Below are 14,870 nucleotides of genomic sequence, written 5' to 3' on the forward strand. Positions count from 1 at the left end.
TAAAAAGTAAGAAACAAACCAGAAAAACAGGGTAAATTTTTTAAATAGAAAAATGTATATATAATAGAACCAAAAGAGCCAAATGATGGTTCTTTGTGAGGATAAATAAAATTGATTAAATTGTGATGAGATTAATAAAGAAGAGAAAAGGTAGAAGCAGTCAAAATTAGGAATGAAAATGGAGGCATAGCTACAGTTGATGTAGACAGTTGAAAGACTTTGAGAAAATATAATAAACAACTTTATTCCTGTAAAATCACTACAGATTAACAGATTATGTTTCTATTAACTCAACCTGGAAAATGCATCTATCCTGTTCTCTGAAGGATTCCTAACATTTGATGATGCTGTCAGACATGACCAACAACATCATAAGGAATGTGGCTTTTCAGGGTGAGATAAGAAGCTTTGGGAAGTTTTTGTAGAGGGGTAACATAATCTCACTTTCATTTTGTATAGGTCTTTCTGGCAACTGTCTAAACATAAACCAGAGAAGGGCAAGGCAGACTCAGGAAGGACAAATAGAAGGCTATTTTCATAAATCGGGTAAGAGACGGTGGCATGGACTCAAGTGGTAGGGGTGAAGGTGGAGAGAAGTAATTAGTTTTAGATATTTTAGAAGGTAGAGCCAGAGGATTTACTGGTGAATTGAATATGGAACATGAGAGAAAGTAAATACAATGAGTTCAAAACAGTGATTTCTCCAAAGTTGTTTTGTTTTTTCTTTTGTTTGTTTCTTTGTCAAAGTGATCAGAAGAACATATTCCATTTCCTGAGATGAAAAAATCCTTAGGAAGAGAAAGTTTTAAGGAAACCAAGAGTTCCATTATGGACAAAGTAGGTTTGAAGTTCCTATACAGGTGGACTTCTTTATAGTGCACTTTCCTTTATTGTGCTTCACAGATATTGAAATTTTTACAAATTGAAGGTCTGTGGCAACCCTGCATTAAGCAAGTCTATCGGTGCCATTTTTCTAATAGCGTGTGCTTGCTTCGTGTCTCTGTGTTATGTTTTGGTAATTCCGGCAATATTTCAAACTTTTTCATTATTATTATATCTGTTATGGAGATCTGTGATCAGTGATCTTTGATTTTTATGACTGTAATTGTTTGGCAGCCCCACTAACCATGCCCATATAAGATGACAAACTTAACTGATAAATGTTAAGTGTGTTCTGACAGCTCCACTGGAAAACCGTTCCCTTGTCTTTGTCCCTCCCCTGGGGCCTCTCTACTCCCTGAGACACAACACTATTGAAATTAGGTCAATTAATAACTCTACGATGGCCTCTAAGTATTTAAGTGATAGGAAGAGTCACACATCTCTCACTTTAAATCAGAAGATAGAAATGATGAAGCTTAGTGAAGAAGGCATGTTGAAAGCCACAATAGGAAGTCCTCTTATGCCACACAGCCAAGTTTTGAATGCAAAGGAAAAGTTCTTGAAGGAAATTAAAAGTGCTACTCCAGTGAACACACAAATGATAAGAAAGTGAAACAGCCTACTGCTGATATGGAGAAAGTTTTTGTGATTTGGACAGAAAATCAAATTAGCCACAACATATCCTTAAGCCAAATCCTAATCCAGAGGAAGACCCTGACTCTTCAATTCTATGAATGCTGAGAGAGGTGAGAAAGCTGCAGAAGAAATGTTGGAAGCTAGCAGAGGCTGATTCATGAGGTGTAAGGAAAGAAGCCATCTCCACAGTACAAAAGTGAAAGGTGAAACAGCAAGTGCTGATGTAGAAGCTGCAGCAAGTTATCCAGAATATCTAGCTAAGGTCATTGATGAAGGTGCCTACACCTTTAGTATATTCCCCTCATAGCTAAATAAACTGCTGATAAAATAAAATTAACATGATATTGATGATTTTAAAAACATGATTAACTAAATGAATAAGTAGACATATATAGAACACCACACCCACCCAGATTTTGAATGTAGACGAAACAGCCTTCTATTGGAAGAAGATGTTATGTAGGACTATTGTAGCTAGAGAGGAGAAGCCAATGCCTGTAAGCTTCAAAAGACAGACTGATTCTCTTGTTAGGGACTAGCACAGCCGGTGACTTTAAGTTGAAACCAATACTACAGACTATTCCAAAATCCTGGGGCCCTTAAGAACTATGCTAAATCTATGCTGCCTATGCTCTATAAATGGAAAAATGCTTGAATAACAGTACAACTGTTTACAGCATGGTTTACTGAATATTTTAAGTTCACTGTTAAGACTTACTGCTCAGAAAAAAAGAATCCTTTCAGAGATAACTGCTCTGTATTAGTCCTTTTTCACACTGCTATAAGGAACTACCTGATGCTGGGTAATTTATGAAGGGGTTTAATTGACTCATAGTTCTTCAGGATTAACAGGAAGCATGGCTCAGAGGCTTCAGGAAACTTACAATCATGGCAGAAGGTGAAAGGGAAGCAAACACCTCTTACCATGGCAAAGCAGGAGAGAGAGAGAGACAGAGAGCACTAAAGGGGAAGTGCCACACACTTTTAAACAACCAGATCTTTTGAGAACACACTCACTATTACAAGAACAGCAAGGGGGAAATCGGCCCCCATGATTCAATCACTTCCCACCAGGCCATTCCCCAGACACATGCGGATTACAATTAGAGATGAGATTTGGGTGGGGACACAGAGCCAAACCATGTCATGCTCATTGACAATGCACCTGGCCACCCAAGAGCTCTGATAGAGATGTACAAGGAGATGAATGTTGTTTTCATGCCTGCTAACACAACACAATATCCATCCTGTAGCCCATAAATCAAGGAGTAATTTCTATTTTCAAGTTGCCTAATATAACAAATGCATTTTGTAAGGCTACAGTTGTCATACACAGTGATTCCTCCGATAGATCTGGATAAAGAAAACAGAAAATCTTCTGGAAAGGATTAATCATTCTAGATGCCACTAGGAACATTTGTGATTCATGGGAAGAGGTAAAAATATTAACATGAATGGGAGTTTAGACGAAGTTGATTCGAATCCCCACGGAAAACTAACTTAGAAGGGTTCAAGACTTCAGAGGAGGGAGTAACTGCAGCTGTGGTAGAAACAGCAAGAAACTACAATTAAAAGTGAAGCCTGAACATGTGACTGAATTGCTGCAATCTCATGATAAAACTTGAATAGATTGGGAATCTCTTCTTACGGACGAGCAAAGTGTTTTCTTGAGATCAAATCTATTCCTGGTGAAGATGCTATGAACAGTGTTGAAATGACAACAAAAGATTTAGACCATTGCATAAACTTAGTTGTTAAAGTAGCAGCAGGATTTCAGACAATTTCCTCCCATTTTGAAAGAAGTTCTACTGTGAGTATAATGCCATCAAACGGCATCACGTGCTACAGAGAAATTCTTTGTGAAAGGAAGATTCAATTGATACAGTAAACTTCAGTGCTGTCTTACTTTAAGTAATTGTCACAGCCACCCAACCTTCAGCAGCCCCCACCCTGGTTAGCTGCCATCAACACTGAGGCAAGTCCCTCTACCAGCAAAAAGAATATGACTCACTGAAGATTCAGATGATCACGAGCATTTTTCAGTAATAAACAATTTTTACACTAAGATATGTCCATGTTTTTTAAGACATAATGCTATTTTACACTGAACAGACTACAGTATAAACATATAACTTTTATACGCACTGGGAAATCAAAAACGTGTGTGGCTCACTTTATTGTGGTAGTCTGGAACAGAACTCACAACATCTCCAAGGTATGCCTGTATTTCATTTAGGTGAAGATATGAAAGCGGCAGTTGAATATACAAATCTGTAATTCATGGGACTGCTCAGTGTTGGAGATCTAATTTGGGTTCATCCATCTATAGGTATATTTAAAAAGCTGAGGCCTGAATAAAGATACCTAGGGAACACAGGTAGAGAGAGCACACAAAGCCTGACCTGCAGCATTCCAGTGTTTAGAGGTCAAGAAATAAGATAGAGTAGTGGACTAGTGGCCAAGTAATAAACTGGGTCAAAGATGAAGAATGAAGAATGCCAGTGGATTTTGCCATGTGGGGGTTTTAAGGGACCTCGATAAGAGAGCTTTTAGTACAGTTGTTAGGACAAGACAGGCCTAGAGTTTAGTCTTAAAAGGGAACAGAGAAATGACGTGGTTGTTGGAGGAGACCATAGAGACAAAGAAGGTTCATTTATTCATTTTTATGTTTAAGACAGGAGATAACTGTCCTATGTTGTATGATGATGGAAATGGCCCAGTAGAGACAGAAACATTGATGGTTTCTATTTTTTCCATCTTGTTTGGTTTGGTCTTTCAGAATTTAATACCTAATGAATGACTTTTTTTAACTTTTATTTTAGTTTCAGGGATACATGTGCAGGTTGGTTCTATAGATAAATTGCATGTTGCGGGGGTTTGGTGTACATATTATTTTGTCACCCAGGTAAAAGCATAGTACCCGATATGCAGTTTTTCAATCTTCACCCTTCACCCACCCTCCACGCTCAAGCAGGCCCCAGTGTCTATTGTTCTCTTCTTTGTATCCATGTGTACTCAATCTTTAGCTCCCAATTATAAGTAAGAACATGCAGTGTTTGGTTTTCTGTTTCTGCATTAATTCATTTATGATAATGGCCTCCAGCTCCATCCATGTTGCTGCAAAGGACATGTTCTCATTATTTTTTTATGACTGCGTAGTATTTCATGGTGTATATGTACCACATTTTCTTTATCCAGTCTACTGTTGATGGGCATTTAGGTTGATTTCATGTCTTTGCTATTGTGAATAGTGCTGCAACGAACATACGTGTGCATGTCACTTTATGATAGAATGATTTATATTCCTTTGGGTGTATACGCAGTAATGAGACTGCTGGGTCAAGTGGTAATTCTTCTTTGAGTTCTTTAAGAAATCTCCAGACTGCTTTCCACAATGGCTGAACTAACTTACATTCCAACCAGCAGTGTATAAGCGTCCCTTTCCTCCGCAGCCTCGCCAGCATCTGTTATTTTTTGACTTTTTAATAATGGCCTGAATGACACATTTGAATTAATTAGTTTGACAAGAGTTTTAAAATATCAAACACACTTTCCCACAGTGTTCATTTTGTTTATATTTGCTTATCTCAGTAAATTGTTAACATGTAGAAATGAAAGCTTAAATGTATAATGAGCCATATCTCTGCATTTATTCAAAGACTTTAGGGGTCAAATTTGCTTATTAAACTGTGTGACAACCAGTTCTGTTTTTGAAATGTTTAAAATTTATCTTAATGTCCACTTTAGGTTCTAAATAATTGAGATAGGCTATCTATAAACCCTGCATTCACCAGATAATGGCCTCAGTATATCCTGCACTTGGCCAGGAATTGACATTCAGTCTATAATTATTTACTTACGGAAGATTTATGTTTTATAAGTAAAAACAGAGAGTATTGGTTTTAGAAATATATGATGTAGTTAAGAAAATCCAAGAAAAGCATTAATTAATAATAGAAAAAATCACTCACAGTTATTGAAAGCATCCCGCATGATGGGCGCTGTGCTGCAATCTACGTTCATGCTCTCATTTACTCCCCTCAGCAATTCTCTCTGGTGGTGGCCACTATGATTCTATTTTACAGACCAGGAAGTTGAGTCATTACAGGGGGCAAGTGACTTGCTGAACGGTACACAGCTGGGAAGTGGTGTGGCTGGAATTTGAGGTCATGCTTTCCATAGTCATAGTACACGACCGCTCAAGCAGGCTAGCATATGGATGGAAGGAAGAGAATGCTTCCTTTTCATACCAATGTCTTTATGTATGAAAAGCAAAGTTATGTTGATCGTATTAGGAATCAGGGTGAGTAATTTCTATTTTACCATGGAAATGATGAATTAACAAATTATTTTAATGTAGCAAAATTCCTCTACTGAAAGAATTAGACAAAACTCCACCATATATTCACTGTGCATTTGGAAGGAGGAGGCCAGAAACTGAAAACTCCAAAAGCAATTTTATGAGGCAGACAGAATTCCTTTGGGACTTCATATTAAGCTATTTTCAGTAGGGAGTACAAATATTTTGTTGAAAATGCTAAGAAACGCCTTTAAAACATTTCCTAATAGGGTCATAGTGGCTTGTTGTAAAGAACAGAAACCAATTTGCCCCATGCCTGACATATTGTTCAGTATTTACTATTAATTTTGTTCTAACAAAAGCCTACCTCAGATCAATAAATATAAATGTTGTAAAAAATAAATTTGATAAAGATTACATTTTTTCATTTGATGTAAAAGTACTTTTCACACTTTTTGGTAATTCATTAGGATGGTGATTTCATTTTAAGATTAGCTTTCCCTTTCCTTTTGTGTTACCTGTATTGAAAACTGGCTATTACCATATGTACTTCTTTACATTTTCTGCAGCATGTAATTAAGAGCTAAACTTATATATTTGTTGCCCTTTTTCACCTAATGAAGATAATTCCAAGGTTTGTAGAGAGAAATAAGAAACCATTCAAACCACTTGTGTTATTTTGTTTGTTGCTTTGTTTTTGAGACGGAGTCTCACTCTGTCACCCAGGCTGGAGAATAGTGGCGCAACCTTGGCTCACTGCAACCACTGCCTCCCAGGTTCAAGCGATTCTCCTGCCTCAGCCTCCTAAGTAGCTGGGACTTCAGGAGCCCACTGTCACACCTAGCTAATTTTTGTATTTTTAGTAGAGACAGAGTTTCACCATGTTGGCCAGGCTGGTCTCGAACTCCCGACCTTAGGTGATCTGCCCGCCTCGGCCTCCCAAAGTGCTGGGATTACAGGCATGAGCCACCACACCCAGCCACATTCAAACCACTTCTGAGGACTCTCCTATACTCTGGGTACTTAACTATGAAGTCTAAAGTTGTGGGATGTATAAACCAGCTATAAAGCTAGACAGGCTGACTCTAAAGCAAAGGGTAACATTCTCCACCTTCTGTTTTCTCTGGCTGTCCTTCCCTCTGGAGTGTCCTCCTTATACCTATAGGGATGTCTAGTGTCTGCTATCACAATTTGCTAATTGAATAGGCTCGATATCAGTCATTTCCACCTTAGTGAAAATTAAAACTGCTGTGTATTCTCTCCCTCCCTAAAGTAATTTTATTTTAGGCCTTGTTTATAATGTGACATGGGAAGCATTTCCTCTCCCACCTCCTTTAAATATATTTTGAATATCAGGGATTAAGTAGAAAAGATATTAGTGAAGATAGACTAGCCTTGAGAAGCTTAGTTATGCACCTCAGATAACACAAATCCGTGCATAGCTAGTCCCAAAGTAAAGCACAATAAATTGCATGAAATAATCAATGAATCTGAGGTGCTTGAATAATAGAGTCTTAGAACTGGTTGGTACCTAAGGATTTGTTGTACTCTTCCCTCCCACCCAATGCAGTAATCTTCTCTGTAAGAGCAGTAACAGATGGTCAAGAACTTGTACCACTATTTTGGTTTTTCTTATTAAAATGGCTAGATTTCAGAACTTCTTGGCAAGCTGCTATTCAAATGCAGAAATGCATCTGCTTAGAAACTCAAAAATAAACATGTTTTCCAAAGGAATCAAGTATGTTCTATAAAATCCTGGCCTGTTCATAGGATGTGGTAAGCATGAATTTCATTACAAGTTAATTCTACCATGATGGTAGTGAGCTTCTTTGTTCCAAACTAAGAAGTGTTGAGTGTGATTGGTGATGGTTGGAACTAAGGGGAGGGAGCTGAGAACTGACAGATGTATGCTCAAATCCTGGATGTGTCCTGGCATCAAATTTCAGAAAGTTAAGAAATAATGTTTTGTAAGGCAGTTTCATCTCATAATTTTAAGTTACTGTATTCATTCTACATGAAATCCATCATTAAACTCAGATACCATATCCAGTAGAGTAAATCAGGACCAAATACAGCCTGTAATACGCAGAGCCAGTGAGGCTGGGCAGCTTCTGTCTGAGTTCCAGACTCACTGGCACTCAGCTAAGGATTCCAGACACTCAAACTTAGCAAGAAATAGGACAAGAAGCATGGAGCATGACTTAATATTAGTCTGTGTGCATTTCTATGTGGAGCAATACATTTGCAATGCTTCTTAAAATGTAATGATGCCACAGTTTTATTTTTACATACAGTTATTAACTTTCAAATATATTCAGCAGATGATATGACTGCACATATTGGGATTTGGTATATATAACCTTTCAGTCCTTTTGACAGAGAGTGATAACATTGATAATCTCCATATGGCTTAATGTTTCTTTGCTCTCCCTCCTTTCGGAAATTCTCTGTGCCTCGTTAAATGGAGAAGATTCCATTAATATTCAATGATACATGAACAAGCAATTAAAATAATTTCTATTCTAATCTGGAAATAGAAAGTATTTTCTATGTAGCATTATACAAATGCTATATTTATGAGCTATGTGGGTACTATAGGCAGAGATCAGTTTCAAAAATGAGCAATTACACTGTGCCACATTATAGACTGATTTGAACCACATAAATTTCATGTTTAAGACTCACTTTGATTATGTTGCGTATTTTACCATTTTAGAGAGGTTTCCTTGTGATCCTAATTCTAACTCAAAATAACCTGTTTTCACTTTTTGCCTATCCTTCCAACAATCTCTTCCCAACAAACCACCACCACCACCACCAAAAAAAAAAAAAAAAAAAAAAAAAAAAGCTTCACAAAGGTTTTTGGAATTCAAATGGGTCTTACAAAACTTTTGGATAATTCAAGTGTAAACTAATCAGAAACACATGGGATTGAATTCCCTTTGAGATTTACAATCAGGGTGAAAGGACTTGGCAAACTGTAATGGTTTAACAACAAAAGAAATCAAGAATTTTCAGCCTCACAAGCCTCTACATTTCCTCTCAATTCATTTATATTTAAAAGGGAAGCATATGCTAGAGGCTAGAGTTTGGAAAACTGCCTGGTTATCTGATCTAGTGTTCTGCATCAGCACCTCATCCACCACCCATCACCTTAAGTTTATCTTCTCAACCTGCATGATTTTGAGTGAAAGGGGAGCCAGAAGTGAGATGTATGATCATCCTACTAATAGTTCACATCTGTTCTGAGATTCTGATTGCTGTGAAAATTCTTGTGATAGAAAAATAATTTGTTAAATTCCCTCTTAAAACCTGAAGCAAAAATTATCAGGCTTCTATTTTTATAATACAAACAATTTTCTTCCAGAAACATTCTGATCTGTGTACTCATTATTTTCTAAAGTACATATTTACTTCACATCAGGCATACAATGGTGGACAAAACAGCTGCCTTTCTTCCCCGTATGGAGCTTACAGTATAGTGAATATTTCATGGGACTAGTATCTACAGAAGGTGTTTTGGGAAGCACAGCTTTGGAGAGAGTAATTTGCCAACATTGCACAGAATAAAGGCACCATGAGGGCCCAAGGAAGGAAAAGATTTGCAGCTGTCTTGGTAAGAACTGATGATAAGTGGAATCACACAAGAGATGGTTTAGATATAAAATCAGCAGGATTTGGTAGCTGCTTGACTTTGGGAATCAAAGATGAATTTCACTAGAAAGATAGTTGCGCTGATACAAAGAAAATACAAGAAGCTTGGGAAACACAATTGAGTTTAGGCTGCATATTTGTTTTATGTGCTGTATAGCAAATTACCACAAACCTAGCAATATAAAACAATATGCCTTTACTCTGTCACAGTTTCTGTGGGTCAGCAGTCTGGGTATGGCTTAGCTAAGCTCTCTGCTCAGAAGCTCACAAGCTGTAATCAAGGTTGCATTCTACATTCTCATCTGGAAGCTGCATTCTCATATGGAGGCTTGACTGGGGAAGATCCACTTTTCCAAGTTTTTCAGGTTTTTTGAGAATTTGTGTATTTGTGGTTGTATGACTGAGGGTCTTAGCCTTTTATTGGTTGCGGCTAAGGCAAACTTTAAGCCCTAAAGGGAGGTCCTTGCTGCCTGGGCCTCCCTATAGGCAGTTCATAACATGGCCATTTGCTTTTTCAAGGCCAATGGGAGAATCTCTAGTTGCAGTGTGCTAAGAGAGTCTTGTATACTTAAGGCAGTGACAATCCACCATCTTTGGCATACAATATACACTCATCAAAAGAGTGAAATCCTGCCTTTGCATATTGTATTGGTCAGAAGCAAGTCACGGGCTCTGCCTACATTCAAGAAGAGAGAATTAAACAAGAACGAGGATGCATTGGGGGTCACCTTAGTGTATGTCGGCTCTAAGTTTGGATGTGTTGTGTTTGAGGTGTTAGAAGAGCCTTTGGTGAACAAGTCATCCACGGTTATAAACTGGACAATGTACATCTAGAATGTTTTTTTCCTTTGTGAACTTCTGATAGCAATTAGGGTTAAATGGCTATTTCCTTATAATATTTCTTTATCCAGTTTGTGCTGATTACATTTATAAAATAAAGAGAAGTAAACCTTATATATGAAAACAAAAATGAAATAATATTTGTCAGGTGGTGATAAAAATAAAGCTTAGAAAGATACGTACAACGGCAACTCTCAGATAGGGCTAGAAAGTTTGGAGATGGATATTTATTCCTTAAAGCCAAAGATAAAATAATTTAATTTTCTTCTCCAAAAAACTTCATAGCACAGAAATTGGCAGCCTCTCAGCCAAATATCTCTTGGAAGAAGAAATAATACCTCCTGCTACACATTAACTTCTGAGCCAATTTCAATCTAATACACAGAAGTTAATTCTAGTCAGCTCTCAAGAAAATCTTGACCTACGAATATCTATTTGAAAAATTGAAAAGAGATGTAAAAGCAGAGCCCTACAGACAATATTCTAACAATTGGTGCTGCATTACCAGGTTTGTTTTCTTCTTATCTTATCCCTAAATGGCAAAATAAAAGGCCTAGATCAACTATATCTTGGATTTATGTGACCAAGTCTATCAACAAACCAATAACATCATCATGCATAAAGTGAGCCTTACTCTGTATTTCACTTCTGGTGGTTTTAGTCAACAGCCACTCCATTTTCTAAAGGCAGAAGATTGAACAAAAGATCAGTATATTCCACAAGAACAAATAAATCCAATAACTCTGTAAAGAAGAATATCCCTCTGACCAAATTTTGACTTAGTTACATGATATAATCATAGGTTTTTTAAAAAGCTACTTCATAGCTATGTTTTAAAAATCTAGATATAAACTCTCAAAAGGCAAACTGTAGCTTGGAGAGATATTTGAGACATACTATACAACAAAAGATTACCTTTTATAACTAGAGAACTTTTAAAATCAATAAGATTAACACAATAAAATACATGAAAGACATGAAGAAATGCAGTGGCTAATATGTTTACGAAGAAGGCTTGATCTTATTTGAAATTAAATACAAGTAAATTAAAGCAATGAACTATTTTTAATATGTCTAATAAGCAAATTAATATACCCAGATAAAGTAGGAAAATGAGTACTTTTAAGTACTGGAGATGGCATACATTGGCTTCTGGAAGACAACAAATATACATCAAAAGTTCTAAAATGTAATGATTCTTTGCACCAGCAATTCCACTTCCAGGAATTAATCCTAAAGGGAAGAATGTGATTTACCTTCAAAGGATTTTTAAAATCGCAATTTTCTTATAATAGGAAAAAATTAGAATGAAAGAATATTCAATATTAGGGGATTTGTAAAACATGTTATGGTATAATCATAGCCTGCCATCATAACTTTTAGCCTGTTTTCCCACTCCATGCCCCATTCTCTCCTTTCTGAGAACCACTGCCAGCCTCACATCTCACAAATAGTGTTGATACCATATAACCCTTTGCACCTATCCATTCCCCTGTGTTCATAGCTCATTAGGTGTGGATATACTAAACCGGCCTAATCAGATATGCTCCCTTGGAAGTTCAGAATTGGAATAAAGAGGCTCTGGTTAATTCAGCACTTTAATCGAATGGCAGAGCGGTGAACTCAGGTGCTGTAGTGGCCATTTACACAGAGAAGGGGAGAAAACAGCCTCCAAAGAAAAACAAAGCAAAGGAGCCAGAAAATTAGGGAAAAGAAGCATTATGGTATGGGTGCTAAGGCCAAGGTCATGCCCCAAACCACAGGGTTGTGCCTATCCTTGACAGAAGTGCAAAGAAGGAGCTCATTTTCGGACATCCCACCTTTTATTTCTGAGCCCTTCCTTCCCACATTTTTTTGTTTTCATTTAGATGTTGCATATATTCGTCATTTAGGACTTTCCAAGAATGACTTTCCAATAGCACTCCAATTTCTTTTTTGGAGGTTAATCAGCCTCCAGAACCCACCACCAATTTTTGTGTTGGTGATGGGGGAATCCAGATGCCTCCAGTCATTATGGAAGCTGAAGCTGACAGAGGCCATGACTCCTCATCCCTGCTGAAGGCAGAGGATAGGTCCACACCTAAGCTCAGCCACTGATGCTCTCTGACTGGCCTTTGAGTCATAAATAGCAGCATGCTATCCTATCCACACTGCTGCGCTTTCCACATCTGGATACTCGGGATCACCCTAGGCTCCTGTGCATCCCACACTTATCCCTCAGCGTTCCATTGATTTTCCAACATGAATAGCCTTCTAATATGTCACATATGATTAAGTTAGCTGGAGTCCATTTCTGTGTTTTTAAATATACTTTTATTTTAAATATATTTTTAAATATATTGATGTGTACTTTTCTTTCTCACCTTTCCTTGTATATGATGCCCTCTTACTTCAGCTAGTGGAGGCTTGGCCATTATTGTAAGGAGGCTAAGCATTAAAACAGCAATGTAAGATAAAAAGATGTCCATGTTCAGCTTTTGATTTCCAAAATTAGACTTGTTTTAATCTCCAGTAAGATTCTTAAAAATGAGGCTTTGTTTAAAGAGGTTAAGTTTTTTCTGAATCCCTTAAACTCCAATTTTTATATACAGATCTAGGCCTGATGGACTTTTGTCCTAGAGTTTTACTAGAAAATACTGCGTAGAGACAACAAATGATTTGACACAAGGGATATGCCCAATAGTAAGAAGGAAGAAGAAGAAATTATTCTGTCATGGAAGGGAGGCACAGGGCTCAGAGAGGAAGCAGTTAAACTGATGAGATGCCTGGTTCCCTTCGCTGATCTAGAGCAGCCACACTGCCATCCCTGTGCCGTGGCCAAAGAGACAAAACAAATAATTAAAAATGCCCACAGAAAGCTAAAATGGATTAAATGAGAGGTTGATGCTCTGCTTCTCTGTCAACAGGCCAAAGAGCTGTACAGTAGGAATTACAAAGGAAGCATTTGATGATGTACCCAAGAGGGTGCCCCAGTCCTCCCATAGACGATGCAAGGCATACCAGAGACCCAGAAATGTCTGTGTGGCTCAGTGGGGAAATGTGGAGAGGCCACAAAAACCTAGAGGGGACTCTGATTGGGAAAAGGAAGCTACACAGCCTAGGGACTTTACTCCTTGAGGCAACTGGCAAGAAGTGATACATTAGAAGTTAATGCCAGCGAAATATTCAACAAGGTTAGGTATAACCAGCCACATCTCAGAGGACACCAGTATAGGGCCTCTGGGGACCAAACCAACCCCTCCGAAGCAAAGAACATCAAGAATGTGGAAAGTGCCCTCAACTCCTGCCACATGAGGATGGATGCAACCTCCTCCTGCACATTGGAAAGAAGGATCAGGGAGGGACCAGCCTATGGTAGCAGGAGGCACAGCCAAAATAGGGCTCTAAATTGCTGAAAGTTATTTACTCATAAGAGATGAACTATCTTAACTTGGAAAAGTTGTTTACCCTGACTTCACCTGGAATTGAAATTGTCTGCTAAATAAAATAAAGGAAATTATAAAATATGTTACACATACAGACTATAACAAATACCCTTTTTTTTTTTTTTTTTTTTTTTTTTTTTTTTTTTTCTGAGACAGAGTTTTACTCATCACCCAGGCTGGAGTGCAGTGGCGCAATCTCAGCTCACTGCAACCTCCATCTCCCGAGTTTAAGCGATTCTCCTGCCTCAGCCTCCTGAGTAGCTGGGATTACAGGCACCCACCACCACGCCCAGCCAATTTTTGTATTTTTGGTAGAGATGGTGTTTCATCATGTTGGCCAGGCTGGTCTCAAACTCCTGTCCTCAGGTGATCCACTCGCCTTGGCCTCCCAAAGTGCTGGGATTACAGGCATGAGCCACCGTGCTCGGCCAGAATACACTTAATTCTTGATATAAACATAATTGAGTCTACTAAGTAAGATAATAGACAAGATGGTGTGTGTGTGTGTGTGTGTGTGTGTGTGTGTGTGTGTGTGTGTGTGTGTGTGGCTTACAGGCAGATATTAAAAAGCCAATATCAAAAAAGAGATTACAGATGTAGTTGGGTCCTTTCCGCTTTCCAAGGTTCCTACTTCTGTTCCTGCACCCTAAATTTTGTCTTCCCCATCTGCTCTCAGATCTTATTTCCTCTGTAACTTATTCTGATATATAAGTAGAGGAAAATGAAATGGGTCTAGAGTTCATGTTTAAAAAGAGAACAAAAGAAATATGGGTGCTAGTATGTCTCATGTTCTCAACTATCTCAAGCCATATGCTCAAAGAGAAGAAAAACCTGAGGAAAGTATCAAAACACTTGTAAAGCTCATTGTCTAGTATATTACATTTTTTAATTTTTTATTTTTAAGTACTATGGATATATAATAGTTGTTCAAATTTTGGGGATGCATGTGATATGCTGATACCAGCATACAACGTGTAATGATTAAATCAAGGTAATTGGGGTACTCCTCACCTCCAGCATTTATCTTTTCTTTGTGTTAGACCACCACCACATGTGCAGCATCCCTCTGGGTCTCTTCCATGACAACCCTGTGGGAAGCCAGGCAAGTGAGAATCAATGTAAACATGAAGTTC

At 37.9% G+C, this 14,870-nt stretch overlaps 1 long non-coding RNA gene across 5 annotated transcripts in view, besides 1 other annotated feature; it reads left to right on the top strand.

The window, feature by feature from the left end:
* LOC105375463 (uncharacterized) overlaps positions 1 to 14,866 on the top strand; it is a 51,730-nt gene extending 36,864 nt beyond the window's left edge. For 4 of the 5 annotated variants that reach the window (XR_001745336.2, XR_001745335.2, XR_001745329.2 and 1 more), the window contains 2 exons: positions 460 to 546; positions 14,778 to 14,866. This is a non-coding gene — a long non-coding RNA (uncharacterized LOC105375463). Of the gene's footprint in view, positions 1 to 459; positions 547 to 9,242; positions 9,311 to 14,777 lie in introns of those variants that run through there. The other variant, XR_007060482.1, reaches the window with a different exon arrangement.
* Positions 5,513 to 5,807: an enhancer, noted in NCBI's record as "tiled region #1934; K562 Activating non-DNase unmatched - State 21:Repr". NCBI's record gives its function as "activates a minimal TATA promoter and a strong SV40 promoter by Sharpr-MPRA in K562 cells {active_cell/tissue: K562}" and the evidence as "EXISTENCE:reporter gene assay evidence [ECO:0000049][PMID:27701403]".
* Positions 14,867 to 14,870: the final 4 nt, after the last annotated feature.

Source organism: Homo sapiens, chromosome 7, assembly GCF_000001405.40.
Source record: "Homo sapiens chromosome 7, GRCh38.p14 Primary Assembly".
NCBI classification, from domain to species: domain Eukaryota; kingdom Metazoa; phylum Chordata; class Mammalia; order Primates; family Hominidae; genus Homo; species Homo sapiens.